The sequence below is a fragment of the Homo sapiens genome, chromosome 4, assembly GCF_000001405.40.
Source record: "Homo sapiens chromosome 4, GRCh38.p14 Primary Assembly".
NCBI lineage: Eukaryota > Metazoa > Chordata > Mammalia > Primates > Hominidae > Homo > Homo sapiens.
The window spans coordinates 134,012,870-134,036,426 of NC_000004.12; the positions used below are offsets into that span (position 1 = coordinate 134,012,870).

The 23,557-nt window shown below is 36.6% G+C and overlaps 1 protein-coding gene across 7 annotated transcripts in view, besides 2 other annotated features; it reads right to left on the bottom strand.

The window, feature by feature from the left end:
* The window catches only part of PABPC4L (poly(A) binding protein cytoplasmic 4 like), a 253,443-nt gene that overhangs the window by 64,411 nt on the left and 165,475 nt on the right, over nt 1–23,557 (bottom strand). The window lies entirely within an intron of this gene.
* Nucleotides 1,174–1,674: an enhancer, noted in NCBI's record as "H3K27ac hESC enhancer chr4:134935198-134935698 (GRCh37/hg19 assembly coordinates)". NCBI's record gives its function as "activates a minimal SCP1, AML or CMV promoter by ChIP-STARR-seq in naive H9 embryonic stem cells {active_cell/tissue: H9 hESC(naive)}" and the evidence as "EXISTENCE:reporter gene assay evidence [ECO:0000049][PMID:30033119]".
* Nucleotides 1,675–2,175: an enhancer, noted in NCBI's record as "H3K27ac hESC enhancer chr4:134935699-134936199 (GRCh37/hg19 assembly coordinates)". NCBI's record gives its function as "activates a minimal SCP1, AML or CMV promoter by ChIP-STARR-seq in naive H9 embryonic stem cells {active_cell/tissue: H9 hESC(naive)}" and the evidence as "EXISTENCE:reporter gene assay evidence [ECO:0000049][PMID:30033119]".

A 23,557-nucleotide genomic window follows, 5' to 3' on the forward strand; every position in this document is an offset into this window, starting at 1 on the left:
TCATTTCAATTCCTTTCATTTTCTGGTAGAAACAAAGGAGACACGTTTTACCCGTGGACCCAAAACTCTGGCGCCGGTCATGGACTGGAAAGGCAGCCTTCTCTTGGTGTTTAATCATTGCAGGGACACCTCTCTGATTATTCACCCATGTTTCAGGGGTGTCAGACCACACAGGGATGCCTGCCTTGGTCCTTCACCCTTAGCAGCAAGTCCTGCTTTTCTTGGGGAGAGGCAAGAACCCCAACCCCTTCTCTCTGTGTCTCTACCCCTTCTCCGCTTTTCTAGGGGAGGGGCAAGAACACCTCAACCCCTTCTCCTTCACCCTTAGCGGCAAGTCCCACTTTTCTGGGGGAGGGGCAGGAACCCCGACCTCTTATCTCTGCACCCCAATCCCTTATTTCTGCACCCCGACCTCTTAATTCTGTGCTACAACCCCTTATTTCCACACCGCGACCCCTTCTCTGCTTTTCTGGAGGGCAAGAACCCCCCACCTCTTCTCCGTGTCTCTACTCTCTTTTCTCTGGGCTTGCCTCCTTCGCTATGGGCAAGCTTCCACCTTCCATTCCTCCTTCTTCTCCCTTAGCCTGTGTTCTTAAGAACTTAAAACCTCTTCAACTCTCACCTGACCTAAAATCTAAGCATCTTATTTTCTTCTGCGATGCCACTTGACCCCAATACAAACTCAACAGTAGTTCCAAATAGCCAGAAAATGGCACTTTCAATTTTTCCATCCTACAAGATCTAAATAATTCTTGTCATAAAATAGCCAAACGGTCTGAGGTGCCTGATGTCCAGGCATTCTTTTACACATCGGTCCCTCCCTAGTCTCTGTTCCCAATGCAACTCCTCCCAAATCTTCCTTCTTTCCCTCCCACCTGTCCCCTCAGTCCCAACCCCAAGTGTCACTAAGTCTTTCTAATCTTCCTTTTCTACAGACCCATCTGACCTCTCCCCTCCTCACCAGGCTGAGATAGGTCTCAATTCTTCCTCAGGCTCCACTCCTCCACCCTATAATCCTTTTATCACCTCCCCTCCTCACACCCAGTCAGGCTTACAGTTTCATTCCGTGACTAGCCCTCCCCCACCTGCCCAGCAATTTACTCTTAAAAAGGTGGCTGGAGCTAAAGGCATAGTCAAGGTTAATGCTCCTTTTTCTTTATCTCAAATCAGATAGTGTTTAGGCTCTTTTTCATCAAACATAAAAATCCAGTCCAGTTCATGGCTCATTTGGCAGCAACCCTGAGACACTTTACAGCTCTAGACCCTAAAAGGTCAAAAGGCCGTCTTATTCTCAATATACATTTTATTACCCAATCTGCTCCCGACATTAAATAAAACTCCAAAAATTAAATTCCAGCCTCAAACCCCACAACAGGACTTAATTAACCTCACCTTCAAGGTGTACAATAATAGAGTAGAGGCAGCCAAGTAGCAACATATTTCTGAGTTGCAATGCCTTCCTTGCTTCCACTGTGAGACAAACCCCAGCCACATCTCCAGCACACAAGAACTTCCAAACACCTAAACCGCAGTGGCCAGGTGTTCCTCCAGAACTGCCTCCCCCAGGAACTTGCTACAAGTGCCAGAAATCTGGCCACCAGGCCAAGGAATGCCTGCAGCCCAGGATTCCTCCTAAGCTGTGTCCCATCTGTGTGGGACCCCACTGGAAATCGGACTGTTCAACTTACCTGGCAGCCACTCCCAGAGCCCCTGGAACTCTGGCCCAAGGCTCTCTGACTGACTCCTTCCCAGATCTTCTCGGCTTAGCAGCTGAAGACTGACACTGCCCGATCGCCTCAGAAGCCCCTTAGACCATCACGGATGCCGAGCTTTTGGTAACTCTCACAGTGAAGGGTAAGTCTGTCCCCTTCTTAATCAATACAAAGCCTACCCACTCCACATTACCTTCTTTTCAAGGGCCTGTTTCCCTTGCCTCCATAACTGTTGTGGGTATTGACAGCCAAGCTTATAAACCTCTTAAAACTCCCCAACTCTGGTGCCAACTTAGACAATACTCTTTAATGCACTCCTTTTTAGTTATCCCCACCTGCCCAGTTCCCTTATTAGGCTGAGACACTTTATCTGCTTCCCTGACTATTCCTGGACTATAGCTACATCTCATTGCCACCCTTCTTCCCAATCCAAAGCCTCCTTTGCATCCTCCTCTTTTATCCCCCCACCTTAACCCACAAGTATAAGACACCTCTACTCCCTCCTTGGCGACTGATCATGCAACCCTTACCATCTCATTAAAACCTAATCACCCTTACCCTGCTCAATGCCAATATCCCATCCCGCAGTGCGCTTTAAAAAGATTAAAGCCTGTTATCAGTCACCTGTTACAGCATGGCCTTTTAAAGCCTATAAACTCTCCTTACAATTCCCCCGTTTTACCTGTCCTAGAACCAGAAAAGCCTTACAGGTTAGTTCAGGATCTGAGCCTTATCAACAAAATTGTTTTGCCTATCCACCCCATGGTGCCAAACCCATATACTCTCCTATCCTCAATACCTCCCTCCACAATCCATTATTCTGTTTCGGATCTCAAACATGCTTTCTTTACTATTCCTTTGCACCCTTCATCCCAGCCTCTCTTTGCTTTCACTTGGACTGACCCTGACACTCATTAGGCTCAGCAAATTACCTGGGCTGTACTGCTGCAAGGCTTCACAGACAGCCCCCATTACTTCAGTTAAGCCCAAATTTCATCCTCATCTGTTACCTATCTCGGCATAATTCTCATAAAAACACATGTGCTCTCCCTGCTGAGCGTGTCTGACTAATCTCCCAAACCTCAATCCCTTACAAAACAACAACTCCTTTCCTTCCTAGGCATGGTTAGTGTGGTCAGAATTCTTACACTAGGACCAGGACCGCACCCTGTAGCCTTTTTATCCAAACAACTTGACCTTACTGTTTTGCCTAGCCCTCAAGTCTGCGTGTGGCGGCTGCCACTGCCCTAATACTTTTAGAGGCCCTTAAAATCACAAACTATGCTCAACTCACTCTCTACAGTTCTCATAACTTCCAAAATCTATTTTCTTCCTCACACCTGACACATATACTTTCTGCTTCCTGGCTCCTTCAGCTGTACTCACTCTTTGTTGAGTCTCCCACATTATTCCGGATACCACACCTGACCCTCATGACTGCATCTCTCTGATCCACCTGACGTTCACCCCATTTCCCCACATTTCCATCTTTCATCTTCCTCACCCTGAACACACTTGGTTTATTGATGGCAGTTCCACCAGGCCTAATCGCCACTCACCAGCAAAGGTAGGCTATGCTATAGTATCTTCCGCATCTGTCATTGAGGCTACTGCTCTGTCCCCCTCCACTACCTCTCAGCAAGCTGAACTCATTGCCTTAAGTCAAGTCCTCACTCTTGCAAAAGGACTAAACGTCAATATTTATACTGACTCTAAATATGCCTTCCATATCCTGCACCATCATGCAAGAGGTTTCCTCACTACGCAAGGGTCCTCTATCAGTAATGCCTCTTTAATAAAAATGCTTCTCAAAGCTGCTTTACTTCTAAAGGAAGCTAGAGTCATTCACTGCAAAGGCCATTAAAGGGCATCAGATGCCATCGCTCAGGACAATGCTTATGCTGATAAGATAGCTAAAAAAGCAGCTACCAGTCCAACTTATATCCCTCACTTTCAGTTTTTCTCCTTCACATCGGTCACTCCCACTGATCCTTCACATCCTACTCCCCCGCTGAAACTTCCACCTATCAATCTTGTCCCACACAAGGCAAATGGTTCTTAGACCAAGGAAAATATCTCCTTCCAGCCTCACAGGCCCATTCTATTCTGTCGTCATTTCATAACCTCTTCCACGTAGGTTACAAGCTGCTAGCCCGTCTCTTAGAACCTCTCATTTCCTTTCCATCCTGGAAAACTATCCTCATGGAGATCACTTCTCAGTGTTCCATCTGCTATTCTACTACCCCTCAGGGATTGTCCAGGCCCCCTCCCTTTCCTACCCATCAAGCTCGGGGATTTGTCCCTGCCCAGGACTGGCAAATTGACTACTCACATGCCCCAAGTAAGAAAACTAAAATATCTCTTAGTCTAGGTAAACACTTTCACTGGATAGGTAGAGGCCTTTCCTACAAGGTCTGAGAAGGCCACCGCGGTCATTTCTTCCCTTCTGTCAGACATAATTCCTCGGTTTGGCCTTCCCACCTCTATACAGTCCTATAACAGATCAGCCTTTATTAGTCAAATCAGCCAAGCATTTTTTCAGGCTCATGGTATTCAGTGAAACCTTTATATCCCTAACAGTCCTCAGTCTTCAGGAAAGATAGAACAGACTAATGGTCTTTTAAAAACACACCTCACCAAGTTCATCCACCAACTTAAAAAGGACTACACAATACTTTTATCACTTTCCCTTCTCAGAATTCAGGCCTGTCCTCGGAATGCTACAGGGTACAGTCCATTTGAGCTCCTGTTTAGATGCTCCTTTTTATTAGGCCCCAGTCTCATTCCAGACACCAGACCAACTTGGACTGTGCCCCAAAAAACTTGTCATCCCTACTTCTTCTGTCTAGTCATACTCCTATTCACCATTCTCAACTACTCATACATGCTCTGCTTTTGTTTACACTGCCGGTTTACACTGTTTCTCCAAGCCATCACAGCTGATACCTCCTGGTGCTATCCCCAAACTGCCACTCTTAACTCTTAAAGTAAATAAATAATCTTTGCTGGCAGGACTATGCTGAATCTCCTTAAGCACTCTCTAATTAGATGTCCTGGGTCTTCCCAATTCTTAGACCTTTAATACCTGTTTTTCTCCTTCTCTTATTCCGTTTAGTTTTCCAATTCATACAAAACCGTATCCAGGCCATCACCAATAATTCTATATGACAAATGTTTCTTCTAAAAACCCCACAATATCACCCCTTACCACAAAATCTTCCTTCAGCTTAATCTCTCCCACTCTAGGTTCCCATGCCGCCCCTAATCCCGCTTGAAGCAGCCCTGAGAAACATCACCCATTATCTCTCCATACCACCCCCCAAAATTTTCGCCGTCCCAACACTTTACCACTATTTCATTTTATTTTTCTTATTAATATAAGAAGACAGGAATGTCAGGCCTCTGAGCCCAAGCTAAGCCATCATATCCCCTGTGACCTGCACGTACACATCCAGATGGCCGGTTCCTGACTTAACTGATGACATTCCACCACAAAAGAAGTGAAAATGGCCTGTTCCTGCCTTAACTGATGACATTGTCTCATGAAATTCCTTCTCCTGGCTCATCCTGGCTCAAAAGCTCCCTACTGAGCACCTTGTGACCCCCACTCCTGCCCGCCAGAGAACAACCCCCCTTTGACTGTAATTTTCCTTTACCTGCCCAAATCTTGTAAAACGGTCCCACCCCATCTCCCTTGCTGACACTCTTTTTGGACTCAGCCTGCCTGCACCCAGGTGATTAAAAGCTTTATTGCTCACACAAAGCCTGTTTGGTGGTCTCTTCACACTGATGCGCATGAAAATGGTATATGTGCAGGTTTGTTATATAGATAAATTACATATCACAGGCATTTGGTGTCCAAATTATTTTGCCACCCAGGTAATAAGCATAGTACCCAACAGGTACTTTTTCAATGCTCACCCTCTTACCTCCACCCACCTTCAAGGAGTCTCCCATGTCTGTTGTTCCCTTATTTGTTTTCATATGTACTTTCACCCTTCTTTCAAATATTTGTATATACTATGTTTGGATATCTATGGATACAAAGATTTTCTTTCTCTTTTGCCAGGTTATTCTACTGATTTATTCAAAGCACATTGTTTACGTTCATTGAAATTTCATTTTAAATGCCTTTTTATTGGTGATCATATACAACAATTTTCTATTCTAAGAAAAAATTTTCTCCATATAAATTAAAATATAATTAATTGATGATTATGAGTAAAAAGTAGGAAACTATGAATGAAACTACAGATGGCTTCAAATTTATTTCTTAAAGTAACTCCAATTTGATTTCTTTATTGAATTCAGAGTAAATAAATAGATTAGTGGTATTCTCCTTTCAATATTTTATAAAATGCTTGACTCACTCCTGACATTTTTTGTGTTATTTCCCTTCCAAGTGTGATTTGTCATTGGTGCTATAAAGGAATGTGATCACTTGGGTTGGAAATGACTTAATTTGAATAGTATGCATAAATGTTTCAAATGCAAGTATCCTTCCATTGAAACAACATTTAAATAAAAATTAGAGAAATATGGCTTAGAGGATAATTATTGCCATATGAATGAAGTTGAATAAAGAATGAGAGAAGGAATCTGTTTGTCAGCCTAACTCATAATTTCAATATTGGGCATTAGCATTCATTGGATTTGTTACTAAATGACAAGGGATGAATTGAAAACATTTACATTTTGGTAAGCAGTATCAATTAATTGACAACATACATAAACACATGAATAACTGAAATTGCTGAATTCCAGAAAATATTTTGATGCTTCTTTTGGGGTTCATCTATTAGAAAATATAAAAATGCCTCTTTATAACTTTCTGTTTCTTCATTTGAATAAAGCAGGAAACTGATTTCCATCAAATAAGTTGGCTGCAATGAAATACTTAATTTGGAGAATTGAATTAGCAACAACATAGTAGAGCACTACCAGAGAAGAAAAACACCTTAAATGACAATCGGTAGCTATAAGTTATAGCAGAAAATAAATATCTGATTATTCTCATAGTTTTCATTACAAAAACATATTAATAATTAAAGATGATGTGAAAAATGCAAATAGTTTATCACTAAGGAACAACTGCATAGGTGTATCAGTCTGGTTTGTATTATGCTAATAGACAACCCTAGAATCTTAGTAGTTTTAAACAATACATGTTGAATCTACATGTCTATCACAGATTTTCAGATCTTTAGGAGGTTCCTGCTTATCATAGTCATTAGTCATTTACAACCCAAGATTGATGAAAGAGACACTGGGGTTGGCAGTTATGTACCAGGGTAAAACAGAGAACTTAAAGATGTCATTCTAGAAAATAAATGTTTGACTTAGAGATGACAGACAACCAGAACTAACATCACGTGTTTCTCACACCCACTCACCTATCAAGTGGCCAGAATGTATAAATCAACTGTATTATTTCTCAAGTTAAGAGCTGAAATATTCCTTGAATAATACTAGCTACTACCACAACTAGGTATTACAACAACTACTGTTACAGGAAAGGAGTCCCTACCCAGACCCCAAGAGAGGATTCTTGGATCTCATGCAAGAAAGAATTCAGGGTGAGTCCGCAGTGCAAAGTAAAGGCAAGTTTATTAAGAAAGTAAAGTAGTGAAAGTACAGCTATTCCGTAGATAGAGTGGGATGTTCCTGAAAGCAAGAGGAGGAATGGCGTCCACCCTAGGTACAATGCTTGTTTATATAGGATAAAAAGATCATGGAAGATGTGCTCTGCTACAAGGGTTTGTGATGAAGGATTAATTTTCTTAATTACTGTATTTTGAAACAATCAATGTTATTATCTTTAAAGCAAAATTAGGAATGCCTTTGTTCTCCAGATATTAGGATATCTGGACACACCCAGGTCTGAGTCTGTTTAGTAAACATTACTCATTTGTTCCCTTAACCTTAAACATCTAGAAGCTAGGAATGCCAACTTTCTGGGGAGGGAAACCAGCAAGCCCCAGCCTCATTTTCCTGGCCCTCACTCAAGATGGAGTTGCTCTGGTTTGAATGTCTCTGACACCACTATTCCTTGAATAAGTACTAGCCTACAACACCAACCTGTTCCTGTATTATAATGGTATGTTCATACAAGTTGGTGGATATGGAATTCTGGAACTATACATTAGGCCAAACAGATCATCCCAGGGAGATACTAGTGAAAACCTCCTAGTGGAATTTAAAGATAGATTTTAAAAAGAGATTATAAATATAGGTATAGGTATGGGTATATAATCTCATAATATAGTTATATATAATTGACAACTACTTAGGATATTGCTATTCTATTGCTTTTCCTGTCAGAGTGTTCAATATATTGTACTGTTGTAATTTCATATTTCCTCACAAGTCCTAACTAACTACTTCATTTGGGCACACAAGAATTTACAAAATAAAGTGAAAAGCTTGTTCTTCTAAGTTGAACTAGGAATATAGCAATTATGGCAGCCCAAGGCTTGTATGTCCCAGGATATAGTAATTGCTTCATAAATTATACCTCTTATTTAAGTTTCAACATTCTTTCCCACAAAAAAAGCAAAATAAAACAGTTTGACACATGAACAACATCACATATCACAATCACATATACAGGTAGTTTATTTAAGGAAGTAATCTTAAGAAAGAAGAATAGGAAGCTGGGTAAATGAAATAAACAATTATTAAGCTAACCATCAAAAGAGCAACTGGGGGCTCATTTCCACTAGAACCCACAAGGACCTGTGTAGAAGGTGGCACAGATTGTTTCCTGGGGTGGATAGAAGGAAATCTACAAAATCCCATCCTTTCTAGGTCAAAAGTTGCCCTGTGATGTATTAATAGCTTGCGCTTTCAGGTTTGATCATGCATGGTTCTTTGCACTAGTTCCCATAGTGTCTCCATCAGAAAGGTCCTGGGACAGAAAGTAAACATAAAGTAATTTTGAGAGGAGCTCCAATCAGTTTACAGCTGTCCCAAGCTGTTATCCTAAAAAATGATTGATGTAAAAGGTGTTCTCAATGATCTGAGGTAGGACACAGAGGTGTCTAGTTAAGGACCATAATTAGCTATTATAGTATCAGCTATTGTAATCCAAATAGTCTGCTCCTTCACACCTACTTTAAATTTTCTAATGTGAGTTTCTTCTAGTACATACTTAAAAATGAGCCACCATATCATATTTATTTTGAATGGTCCATTTAGATGTTGCTTCTCAATTTTATATTTCCCTGTTCTAGACATTTTTTTCTGCCTTTGGCTTCATTAATGCTCTTCTTGAAACTTCTAGACACCATTTCCTCATTAGTTACTGTTCCTTTACTGCAAGTTAATGAGCTTCATGTAAAATAAGCTAGACTTTCCTTGCCTTCTTTGTCTTTATTCTCCACAATACTAACAGACAGCTATATCAAACTTAACTGAGGTATTGGAGGCAATTTTTTAATGCTACACAGGAGCAGAAATTTTATAGCTGTGGCTAAATACAGCATTTTCCAAGTCTAGAAAAAAACCCATCAGTTACTTTTGATAGGTTACAATTGCCAGATTATGAATGCTGCTAACCCGGCTTCCTTATCCTGAATTTCTGCTCTTTCCCAAACTCTATTTATTCTGTTCAGTCACTTTAATTTTTCACTACCAGTTTTAATACTGTTTGCCCCAGTATCCAAGTTCTTAATAAATAAAATCTTCATATACTCGGTACTCAAATACATTTAATTAGCATATTTCCCTAAATTAGCCGCATTCAGTTTTGATAACATCCCCAAAATCTTCAGTGATGGAATCTGACACACCAAATATATTTAGGAGGCAAAGACGTTACGAATAAAACACACACACACATGCATGCACGCACACACGCACACAGAAGCATTGGACTGCTACCAGGACTGTGTAATGTAAATTCATAGAAGATAAATATTTTCTTAACTGGCTCATAATTTACAAGACCCCTCTTTTATCAATAGAGTCCTTTCCTTAATTATTAGTTTAGTTTTTTTTTTATTTCCTTTATTCCCTGTTTTCCATCATGAAGTTGAATATAATAATATAGTAACTCGACTATCACCCTCTCCTTAGGGTTTATTACTTTTGGGATTTATTTAGTTTAGTTTTGTTTTTGATGATTATAGACTGTCTTTAAGCTCCACATCAGCTTGAGGTGTAGCCTTAAGATATTCTCATGTCTTCTATGCTTTTCCCGGGGCATGCACAGTGACTTTCTATTTTTCCCCATATATGCAGGAGTTTTGGGGGAATGTTTTGTTTGCTTATTATGTTCTTTATTTTTTAATATTTTAGTCTTTAAAATTTGAATACTATATTTTAGTCTTTAAAGATTTGATATTAATTAATTAATATCAGGATTAATTAATATCAGGATTCCAAAAGGGTTGGGGAAAGAAAAATTAAGGGGGAAAAGACTTTCAGCTCCTTAGATCTCCTGGAAGTTGATTTAGCCAGAAAGAAAGGGACTTGCAACAATGCCCAACACTGTGTCTGCACCTGTTATCAGAAGCAGCAATAAGCAAGTAGAACACAGACCTAGGTATTTGGAAGACAGAGCCCTTATTGCCCACTCTGATTCTGCAAGATTTAGGCAAGCTGTTCTAGGAATATGTGCACAGTCATCTGACACTGAGGCATGAGGAATGGCTGCTCTATGCTAAGATCCAAAATGGACTGAAATTAAATGCAATTTACCAAGTCTAAACTTTTATTGGAAGTTATAAGCCTGTAATATAATTCAAAATTCCAGACAGACTTTCAGTGCGATTGTTGTGTATGTGGGGAGACAGCTTCCTGGTGCTTCCTACTCCATCATCTTCCCAGAGTTCTCTCAGAATAACTTACTTTTACAGCAGTTCCTGATCTGGAAAAGTATTATAAAAGTGGTCTTCTTTGATTCTTCTCTGGATTAAGTGGTTGTGAAAATGTATGTGCCCTATTCTACATATCTTTATAAATTAAAATTATTTATTATTTTTCACTTTTTAAATGTATTCCCAATTTCAATTGCATTTCTCCTTATTTATTTAGGCTTTTAAAAAAGCCAGTATTATGAATTATATTTTTTTAAAAAACATGTAAATTAAGAAACAAAAGAGGGTGTTTTGGTTAGATAATCTATTTTGTTTTCCTTTTGAAAATACTGAATAATGTATTGATTTTTATCATCTTTACACTGAATAAAGAATATTATTATTCTTAGGAACAAGAGTAAGAAGTCACAGATCTCCTTATAAAGCTTGTAACTATGTGAATACATGAATATGATTTTTCCAAATTTATATTTTATTTGGAATAAGTAATTGAAGAAAGTTTTGCTGCAGATTTTGGAGAAAAAAACTTATAAATCTAAAAATCACATACACTTTAAAAATAAATTGATTTCAACACTATTAATTATGATCAATAACAAAAATACATTAAGTAGTTTGTATAATGAAAAGGAATCTGATTCATGTAAAAGCAAGTTCTTGCATACTACGTACAGGCATGACAAAGTAAGTCTACTAACCAATAGTGAATAATCTGAACATCCTTTCTTGATCTGGTCTCTGTTTCTCCAGGTGCATTTTTCAAACTCTCTCTTAGGTTTGAATTCTTTCAGTTCTACTTAAAGATTCTGTCAGCTCTGAATATTTACATAGTTCATCAACTCTCTGGAAAGCCCTCTCCAAAACTCTCCTGTGTATAGAACCTCATTTTCCCCACTTGTCTTGGTCTACTTGGGCGCCATAACAAAAATATAACAAACTCAGTGTCTTAAACAACAGATATTTAATTTCTCACAGATCCAGAGGCTAGAAGATCAGAATCAAGGTCTTATCAGTGTTGATTTTTGGTGCGGCTACTCTTCCTGACCTGCAGATGGCCACCTTCTTGCTTTGTTTTCACATGGCCTCTCTTCTGCCAATGTTCATGGGTGAAGAGGGAGAGCTGTCTGGTATCTGTTTCTCTTCTTACAAGAACAACAGTCCTATTGGATTAGGACCCTATCATAACCTCATTTAACTTTAATTTCCTTTTTAAGGCCCTTTCTCCAACTCTCTAGTGATATTGGGGGTTATAGGCTTCAAAGAAATGAATTCTGGGGGAAACAATTCACTTCATAACACGATTTACATCCTTTAGTTCTCAGATTCAATATATTTTTTAAAAGATTTTTTTTAATAAGTTCTTATTGAACATGAACTTTTTAAACATGTACTGTCTTTATAATAAACTAGCTTTTTTTTTTTTTTTGGAGACAGAATCTTGCCATTGCAGACTTGAACTCCTAGGCTCAAACGATTTTGTCACCTTAACCTGCTGTGTAGCTAGAACCCAGCTAATTATGTAATTTTTTTTTTTTTTTTTTTTTTTTTAAGAAAAGGGGTCTTACTCTTACAGGTCTTACAGGTTGGTCTCAGACTTCTGGTCTCCAGTGATCTTTCTACCTTGGCCTGCCAAAGTGCTGGATTACAGGGCCAGGCACGGTGGCTCACACCTGTAATCCCAGCACTTTGGGAGGCCAAGGTGGGTAGATCATTTGAGGTCAATAGTTTGAGACCTGCCTGGCATACATAGGGAAACCCCGTCTCTACTAAACAAATACAAAAATTAGCTGTGCATGGTAGTGCATGCCTGTAATCCCAGCTACTTGGGAGGCTGAGACAGGAGAATCACTTGAACCTGGGAGGCCACTGCACTCCAGCCTGGGCAACAGAGCGAGAATTCATCTCAAAAAAAAAAAAAAAAAAAAAAAAAGAGTGCTGTGCTGGGGTTACAAGTGTGAGCCACTATGACAGGCCTACACTAGCTTTTGAATATTTCTTCTTCTATTGGAAAATTTACTCCAAGAAGGGTAGAATATACCTATTTTTGCTCATTGCTAGAGCACCAGCTCTTAAACCAGGAGCTGTGTATAAGTGCCAGTGAATAGTTTATCTAATACATTGAACTGAATTGAATCTATGACTGTAAATAAGAGCATGAGCAAAATTATTTTCAGTAATATGCATACAAGGATTATATTTCACATATTTATTTTCTTAAGGAAAGTATTAAATTCTCATTTTATCATGCACCCCACAACTAAATAAATGTTTTAAAACATTTTATATATAGGTAAATTTTCTGAATTTTCAGTGGGAAATCTCTTTTTAAATAATTTTAACTGATTAGGAATACAAATTTAATGTAGTAATCTGTTTCTAAATATTATTACATTATGCTAACTATAAGACTGAAGTTTTGTCAATGATAAGAGAAAATATTTTTAGTAATTTATTTTTCATTCTAACATAATTTTTTTACCAGCATTTGAAGGAAAATTAAGGTAGGGCATGGTATTTCAGAACCAAGGAAGGGAGATATTTTAAACCACAGTTGTATACAATTAAAAGTAATACATTTTTCCACTATTTTATTTCCATGTTTAACAGCTTATAATGCCAATGGCAATATTTTAAAAGATTAAAGCTTTTATTTTTCCCCTTTTAATGTAGAAAGAACAGATCTTTTGTTTTGATTGTCTGTCACCCTGGTGTTTGAGTTTATAATTGGCACTTGTAAATGATCAGTAAATACTAGTCTCTTATTTAAAAAAGGGTGAGTGAGTGAAGTTAATACAAGAATAGCTGAAATATTTAATGTATATATTCAAATAATTTTTGCGATTTTTTTTTTTTTTAGACAAACTCTGGCTTTATCACCAGGCTGGAGTGCAGTGGCACAATCTCGGCTCGCTGCAACATCCGCCTCCTGGGTTCAAGTGATTCTCCTCCCTCAGCCTCCCGAGTAGCTGGGACTACAGGTGCACACCACCACATCCAGCTAATTTTTGTATTTTTTTTAGTAGAGATGGGGTTTCACCATATTGGCCAGGAATTTTTGCAATTTCTGCTTATACATCCCTGTCACCTAGAATTATTTCAAAATATAAAAATGTAGTAGTTAATATGCAAGTCTGATTCAACAAATGAACTAAAACTGCCATATCCTTGTGTATTCCCTCTCTGAATTAGGGGTAGCCCTATGTTATGGGTTGAATTGTGTCCCCCCCCAAAATTCATATATTGACGTCGTAACCCCAAACATCTCAGAATGTATCTTTATTTGGAGATAGGGTCTTTATAGAGATAATGAAGTTAAAGTGAGGTCATTAGCGTGAGCTCCAGTCCAATCTTACTGGTGTTCTATAAAAAGGAAAAATTAGACCTAGACAAACATACAGGGAAATTTTCTTGAGAAGATGAAAACAGAGGTCTACGAGCCAAAGAATGCCAAAGATTGCCAGACAAACATCAGAAGCTAGGGAAAAGTCACAGAATGGATTCTTCCTCATGGCTCTGAATCTAGGAACTGGCTGTCTTCATACCTTGATCTAGAATTCCCAGCCTGCAGAGGGAAAAAAAAAATTTACGTTTTCTAAGCCACTAAGTTTGTGGTACTTTGTTACAATCGCACTAGAAAACTAATATACCCTGTTACTTGTGCTTTTGTTTGTTTTAAATTATTTATGTACTTATTTATTTGATGATTAGCCTTTGACAAATAGAATGTTGCAGAAACAATACTGCATTACTTCTCTGAGTAGATTATAAGCACCCATGCAGCTTCTGCCTGGATCTTTGGAATGCTCTTTTTTTGTGGAAAAGCCAGCTGACATGTAAGAAGTCTAATTAACCTGAGATTGCAATCCTGTGATGGCAGGATGGCAGGATGGCAGGATGGGCCAAACCAGTCACTGGGAGTGGTCACAGGGAGAGAGACAGAGAGAGAGTCTTGAAATTCCAGCCAACCCAGCTATTCCAAACCAGGTGTCAGACATATAAGTAAAGAAGCCACGTTGTTTTTAAGGATGATCAGTATTCCATTGTGTATATATACTACATTTGCTTTATCTATTCATTTTTTGTTGGACATTAGGCTAATTTCATATCTTCGCTACTGTTAATAGTGCTACAATAAATATGAGACAGCAGAAATCTCTTCGACAAACTGATTTCCAATCTTTTGGGTAAATACCCAGAAATAATATTGCTGGATCATATAGTAATTGTATTTTTTATTTTTTGAGAAATCTGCATATTGTTTTCTATGGTGACTATACTCAAATATTTGAGATGATGGATATGTTAATAGTTTGATTTAATTATTTCACATTGGATCATAAATTACAACATCACATTGTACTCCATAAGTTTATACAATTACAAATTGTCAATTTACAATCTTTAGAAAGCCACATTGAATGTCCTCTTCAGTTGAATCTTCAGGTAACTCTAGGTCCATTTGCCAAATGATGGCTGCTGTCTGAGACACCTAAAGTGAGAACAATTTACACAAGCTAAGCCAACCCACGGAGACATGAGATATCATAATAAATTGTTCTAAGTTACTAAGTTTTTGAGAGATTTGTTAGGCAGCATTAGATAGCTGGGACACTAATTTCTGTAGTTAGGTTGGTGTAGATGGGTGTTTCTCAAAGTGCTGTCACCAGACCAGCAGCATCAGCATCATTGGGAACTTGTTAGAAATGCAAATTCTTGGACTCCAGCCCAGAAACTCTGAATCAGAAACTCTAGAGATAGGACTCCACTGTTTGTTGTTTAACAAGCCTACCAGGTGATTCTGACTCACATTATAGTTTCAGAACAACTTTAAATTCTTTCTTAATGAAATCTTTACACTTTTGGTTGATGGAGACCAAATACAGGCAAAAAGATCGACCTTATCATAGCTTAAGAAGTGCTGTAACATCTGTGCACTGCCAGCGTTTCATCCTCTCCTCATGCTAAGCCTCCTCAGCTCTTCATTTTCTATGTGCTCTGCTCTCTCCAAAAGTCCATGGGCTTCCTGAATTTCTTTTCCTTTTTTTTTTTTTGATATTTTTGTCAGCTTTTCCCAGTAACCTATATGTCTTGCTAAGCTTCACTTTTTCATGGGAATCCTAGCTGACTTCTTGACTAGGTCAACTTCACTGTTAATAGGCCTTTAGTGCACTATGTACCTTTTCTTCAGATTGCTTGTCACAGTTGAATGTGCACACATTTGTGCAATCATTTAGAAGTGTGCTTCCTCCCATGATAAACTGTAAACTCACCAAAGCAGAACAATGTTAGCATGAGAATGAGCAAGATAAAAAATTAGCAAACTGATTTCTCACTAAGGAAGTAATAATAATAATATTTATGCAAACTCTCATTAGCACTCCTGTGCAGACCATGTACATTTGGTGAATTATCTCATTTAAAACAGCTTGTAAATTACAGTGATAAGGTCAGATCCTCAAGTTCTAGTTTAAAGAAAAAATTATTTTTGTCACTATTTCAAGCATATCATACTTTTTCCAAAACCAGTGAAGCCTGTTGAAACATAGTGTGTATTTTGACTTTTAAAGTTGAAATTTTTTCTATTACCAAGTAACAGTATTTTTAAAAGAAGGATACTTTGGAAGGCTTTTTATGTAGTAATAGCTTTGTTGGCTTATGTTCTTTGTATAACATATTTTTATAAGTATATTCAGATATAATAATTAAACAGCAAATGTATGAGCAACACTTCTTTTAAGGGATTGTTTTCAATATATTTAACAACCAGCATGCTATAGATAATGAGAAATCAAAGTGGCCATCTGCTACCATGTTCCAGCAGGATCCGGGAGGACGACCTTTACTGTACTAGGCCTGAATTCTTTCTTCTCACATTATGGTTCCAAGAAGGTCTGGGAAGATGCAAAGGAGGGGCCAAGGTGACCTTTGTGCTTGGGAGGGGTGAGCATCAAACAATGGCATTATCTGTTCACACCAACTACTGGAAACCCCTAAGCCTGGTTTTGTGAAATTTAGGGTGAGCTAAGTAGGACATATTTCCTGCCATGAAAAAATGTTATATTCTAGCAGGATATATGAAAATTATACAAACAGAAAAAAATAATTTTTAAAAGTGGCAAGAAGTAATAATAGGTTTGATTAGTAAACATTGCTGTTTGCTTAGCTAGATATACAGAATAGGGTAAACTTTTAAAAATATTTAATAATATAAAATTCATTATTTTCAGTTATTTCATCTTAGTTTAAATTAGTTAGATTATTAAATTATTTTCTTTAGCTTAATTTAGAATTTTAATTGTTACTTATGATTTATATTTTAATTCTGGACATTTATATATATAACATATATATGAAATGTATTTTTTTTAATTTTGAAATACAAATAAAAAGGAGGTGATATGGCTGTGTTCCCACTCAAATTTCATCTTGAATTGTAGTTCCAATAATCCCCACATATTGTGGGAGAGACCGGGTGAAAGGTAATTGAATCATGGGGACAGTTGACCCCATGCTGCTGTTCTCATGTTGGTGAGTGAGTTCTCATGAGATCTGATGGTTTTATAAGGAGATTTTTCCCCTTTGGCTCAACTCTTTCCCTTGCTGCCACCATGTGAAGAAAGATGTGTTAGCTTCCCCTTCTGCCATGATTTTAAGTTTTCTGAGGCCTCCCCAACCCTGTGAAACTGAGAGTGGATTAAACTTCCTTTCCTTATAAATTCCCCAGTCTTGGATATGGCCTTAAGGCAGCACGAGAAAGGATTAATACAATAAATTGGTACTGGGTGGGGTGCTGCTGTAAAGATACCCGAAAATGTGGGAGCGACTTTGGAACTGGGTAACAGGCAGAGGCTGGAACAGTTAGGAGGCCTCAGAAAAAGATAGAAAAATGTGGGAAAGTTTGGAACTTCCTAGAGACTTGTTGAATGGCTTTGACAAAAATACTTATTTTTTTCTAAAAGCTTCAAAGTTTTAATTTTGGCACTTAATTCCTTAATTCGTCTTGAATTGATTTGGCTTTATTTTGTCAGTTTGTGACCCATTTTAATTTTTCTCTACATAGATACACTGTCTTACAGAAGAAATCACATATCAATCCACCTCTTCTGCAATGAGCTATAAAAACCAGGTCTAATATTTATGTTTTTGACATATGCACAGATCAGTATTTCCTGTTGTTCTACTCTGTGTATTTATTCTTTAAACAATACATCACTGTTTTAATTCTACAGTTTTCTAATAATTCTTGACATTTTGCTGGACAAATCTGTGGTAATGAATGAACATTGAAATATCTTTCTTCCTACGTATTCTCAGTGGAGAAAAATAAATGTTTATAAAATAATATTTTGCATATGCCCTAAGAATAAAAAACTGAAGATAGCAAATTAAAATAGAAGAGATTAATAATATAAATATACCACTCTATTCCTTCCTTAATCTGAATAGTTATGAATCCAAATGTGGGTAAAACCTAAATATTCATCACAAATTTTCTTCGTCTGAAGCAGCCAACAGAGTCTGTTTAGTGACCTAAACATTATACCCATTTATGATAATAGCTTTGAGTATCTCTGAAAGGTTAAAGAATTATTAATATTTCATGCACATGCAGACATATGTAAATGTACTACTTGAGAGCGCTATCCAGCTCTAAATGGTTGCTTAACATTCATGTGCAATGTTTTTTGAAAACTGGATATTCCAGATGTCTAATTTCATAACAAGAAGGTTTTTTTCCCAGTTCTCCTAGATATCCATGTGCTTATATCTTAAATCCCTGTTTATATCTGTTATAGTTTATAGTACCTCCTATAGGAAGGAGTCCGCCATAAACTCCTTTCAAAAATTTTATCTGTCCTCTAATTTGTTTTTCTACATTTTTTTCCTATTTGTTTTTGTTTTTTTAGTAGCATCATTGCCAACTAAAATAGTATTTATTTGTGTATTCATCTCTTTTAAGATCTGTTTCTTCCATGGGAATATAAACTTCATGAGAGCAAAATTTTCATCTGGTACCTTGACTGCTTTATCACATCATGTATTACTCACAGTAAATTGAATTTTTTGTAAAATAGACACATTTTTCTTTGAGACTCTTGTGGCTCTGACATCCTCAGTCTTTGATTTTCTATGGTGTTCTTCTCTATCATTCCCACCATTAAATTTTGCAGTTATTTCTCAACAACAAAACAGAGAAGATGATGCAGAAATGCATGTACCACTTCACTTCTAACTGTATGTAATAAGGTGAAAACTTAGTCACTTTGCAACTCATAGCTCCATTGGAGGCTGGAGAGTCTAGACTCTAAAGCTGGTAGCATCTGCCAGAAAAAATAAGAGAGATGATATGGGGATATATAACAATAATCTCTGCCCCTTCCCTCTAAAATCATTTTGCAATGGAGAAGATCCTTAATAAATATTTGTTGAATGAATGAATAAATGCTTCTAAGAAATGTATTAGAATTGCAGACAGAATGAGGAGAAATTGTTCTGTAATAAATCTATACCTAATCAAAATTAAATTTTAGTTTATATTAATAGATCAATTTTTGAAGAGAAGTATAAAAATATATATCAATTTCTCTCTAACCAAATGTTTATTCATAATATCTTATATTTTAATTTACTTATTCCATTGGATCTCTACTGAAAGTGTGGAGAAATATAAGATGACAATATCTTCTTTATAATCATACATACAGAAATAAAGGAAAAAGGGAAGGAAAGGCCACATGTTGATAATGCTTTGACACGGAACAACCCTTATTGATACCATAGCAAAGGCACAATTCCTACAGGAGGGTCATTTGTTTTGATTGTTAAAAAATAAAAATATAATGTATGTTCCATTCTTCCCCTTTAAAAAACATAAATAGGTTTAATTTAGTTATAGTATACATTTCTTTTCTATATTTATCAAGTCAACTGAGTTTTATAAATTCTACTAACAAAAGCACAGTGAGGAGAAGCAGGGAGAGAATTGTGATGGAAGAAACAAGCCTTATTTCTTCAGATTCTAATGGTGTGAAAAAATACAGGAAGAAGAATCTGATTTAGAAACACATTCCACCAATTACTTTTCTTGTTGTCTGCAATCATATATTCATTGCCTGTTAGATTTGTTTGCAAAAATTTGCTTTGTGCCTTGTTCTAAAATATGGTAATGTGAAAATATGCACACACTATAACAGTAAAATGAAATTAAAAGAAGTAAGCAAAAAAATAGTTTAGAAAAAGAAGATAAGGCCTGGTATGCTTGATATATAGGTTTTATAATAAGAGGTGATTTCTACTTAATAAACATGGGTTACAGAATGAATAAAGAACTATCTAACATCCAAATGACAAGAAAAAATAAGTTACAAGATTTAAATCTTTAATTATTCTAGAAAAAAGTGATTAGTTCTAACATCTAGATCAAAGATAATACTTACTTTATTATAAGATGTTAAACTGAGTTTTTATGCTGTGACCATTACTGTCGTGTACAATTTTTCTGAATAAACAAATGAACAAATACTGACTGGTTAGGATTAAAGTTACTTCATTGATTTCTAATTGTATAGAAGTATACCTTGTGTTATTGCAGTTTGCTTTATTGCATGACACAAGTATCCTTTTTTTTTTTTTTTTTAACAAATTGAAGGTTTATGGTAACCCTGCATCCAGCAAGTCTATAGGCACCATTTTTACAAAAGGAGGTACTCACTTCATGTCTCTGTGTCACCTTTTGGTAATTCTCACAGTATTTCAAATTTTTTCATCGCTATTATATCTGTTAGAGTGATCCTTGGTATTACAATTGTAACTGTTCTGGAGGACCACAAACCACACCCATATAAGACTGTAAACTTAATTGATAACTGTTATGTGTTCTGACAGCTCCACAGACCAGTCATTCTGTTGTCTCTTTCCCTTTCCTCTAGCCTCCCCATTCCCTAAGAAACAACAATATTGAAATTGTGCCAATTAATAACCCTATAATGACATTTAAGTGTTCCAGTGAAAGGAAGAGTTGCATATATTTCACTTTAAACCAAAAGCTATAAATAATTAAGTTTTGTGAGAAAGGCATGTAAAAAGCCAAGGCAGACCAAAAACTAGGCCTCTTGTACCAATTAGTAATTTGTAAATGCAAAGAAAAAGTTTTTGAAGGAAATTTAAAGTGCTACTTTAGTGAACATACAAATGATAAGGAAGTGAAACAGTTTTATTTCTAATATGAAGAAACTTTTAATGGTCTGAATAGAAGATCAAACCAGACACAACACTCACTTAAGCCAAATCGCAATCTAGAGCAAAGCCCTAATGCTCTTCAATTCTATAAGGGGCTTAAGAGTTGATGAAGCTGCAGAAGAAAAGTTTGAAGCTAGCTGAGGTTGGTTCATGAGATTCAAGGAATGAAGGAATGAAACCATCTCCATAACATAAAAGAAAATAAAAGTGTAAGGTGAAGCATCACATGCTAATGGAGAAGCTGCAGCAAGTTATCCAGAAGATCTAGCTAAGATAATTGATAAAGGTGGCTACACTAAACAATAGATTTTCAATACATATATAACACTCGTATATTGAAAGAAGATGCCATCTAGAACTTTCATAGCGGGAGAGGAGAAGTCAATTACTTGCTTCCAAGTTTCAAGGGACAGATTAACTCTCTTGTTACGAGAGGTAATCCATCTAGCCACTTTAAGCTGAAGTCAGTGTTTATTTACCATTTGAAAATCCTAACACCCTTAAGAATTATGCAAAGTCTACCTTGCCTGTGGTCTGTAAATGGAAGAACAAAGCATGGATAGCAACATACCTGTTTTTAGCAGGGTTTGGTTAATAGTTTAAGCCCACTTTTGAAACTACTTCTCACTAGAAATATTACCCTTTCGATTATCACTGCTCATTGACAATGCATCTAGTCACCCGTGAGCTCTGACCGAGATGTACAAGGAAATAAATGTTGTTTTCATGCCTATTAACACAACATCCATTATACAGCCATTAATCAAGGAGAAATTTCAAGTCTTATTTAAGAAATATATTTTGTAAGGCTACAGCTGCTATAGAGAGTGATTCCTCTGATGGCTGTGAGCAAAGTAAATTGAAAACATTCTGGAAAAGATTTATAATTCTAGATGCTATTAAGAACATAAATGATTCTTGGGGGAGGTAAAACTATCAACATTCACAGCAATTTGGAAGAAGTTGATTCCATCTCTCATGGATGATTTTGAGGAATTCAAGACCAGTGGAGGAAGTAAGTGCAGATGTGGTAGAAACAGTAAGAGAACTAGAATTAGAGGTGGAGCCTGAAGATGTGACTGAATTCCTACAATATCAGCATAAAACTTGACAGGGGGAGCTTCTTATGAATGAGTAGATAATGTGGTTTCTTGAGATGGTCTCTACTGGTGATCATGATGTGAACACTGTTGAAATGACAACAAAGTATTTAAATATTATATAAACTTAGTTAATAAAGTAGTGGCAAAGTTTGAAATAATTGACTCCAATTTTGAAATAACTTCTACTATGCATAAAATGTTGTAAAACAGCATCACATATGACAGAGAAATATTTCATGAAAGGAAGTCAGTTGATGTGGAAAACTTTATTTTGTCTTATTTGTAGAAATTGCCACAGTCACTCAATCTTCTGCAACCACCACTCTCATCAGTCAGCAGTCATCAACGTGGAGACAAAGTCTGCCAACAGCAAAAAGATTATGACTCTCTAAAGGCTCAGATGATCTTTAGCATTTTTAGCAGTGTTTTTAATTAATGTATGTAACTTGTCTTTTTTAGGCATAATGCTATTGATCACTTAATAGACTACAGTATAATGTAAATGCAACTTTTATATACACTGGAAAACCAAAACATTTGGGTGACTTGCTTTAGTGCTCTATTAAATTTATTGTGGTGGTATGAAACCTGTAATGTCTCTGAGATATGCCTCCATATTAATTTTAAAATAGACACGAAGTAATCCTCAACATTTAGAACATTTATTTTGGACTGATGCTTGGTTATTAAGCTAAAATAATCAAGTAATTCACTTTATTAAATTATAAAAATTATTAAATCTACTATTTGTTTAAGTTTCCATTACAAATTTGTGTGCTTCATGTTTGAAGTTGTATGATAATCTATTTATATGATATAGCAGAGAGGAAAATAAAGGCATAATGTTTATTTTTAATTGAATTTGTTCTTAGTCATTTGTATCAATAAAGTAAGAAGATTTCCAACAACTTAATGTGTTTCTATTAGTCATAAAAAGTATCACTATACTAATGTATAGTCATCAGTCCTCAATTATTTTCTGGACATAGGCTCAGCTCTTCATGTGAAGGTCATTATTATATTCCTATATGATGGTTGAAATGATCAGTGACTTCTGCGTAATAGATGTCATGTTTTTATGCACCTTCATTCATCTGCCTAATTTTATATCTCCTCCTCTAATATATTTTCATTTGCTTGTTTTTCTTATTTTTCAGTGTACTTTAAATTATATGGCCTTATAAAGAGTCCCTTATAAAACCATCAGATCTCATTAGAACTCACTCACTATCACAAGAACAACATGAGGAAAACTGCCCCTATGATCCAATTACCTTTACCTGTCCTTTCCTTGACACTTAGGGATTACGAGGATTTTAATTCAAGATGAGGTTTGGGTGGGGACACAAAACCTACCATATCAGTAGACATTATGTTAGTTTCTTTGAATACTATGAATAAGCTGTAAATAGATAATAAAAGTTTCTCAATGTGCTTTCCAACAGTCAGTAAACAAGAGAATTTTGTAAATAGTATACAATTTTATATCACTGCATTCTTGAGGAATCTGATACTGAATAAACCTTTACCTTTCTGACTTACTATACCTTATTTTTAAACAAATTTAGTTATTTTAACTGCACAGATAAAGCATATTCATGATCTGTCAATAATTCCTATAGACTGAGGATCAACTTTGCTGCATACCAAGCTTCAAACATATTCATAGCACTGGATTTTAAAA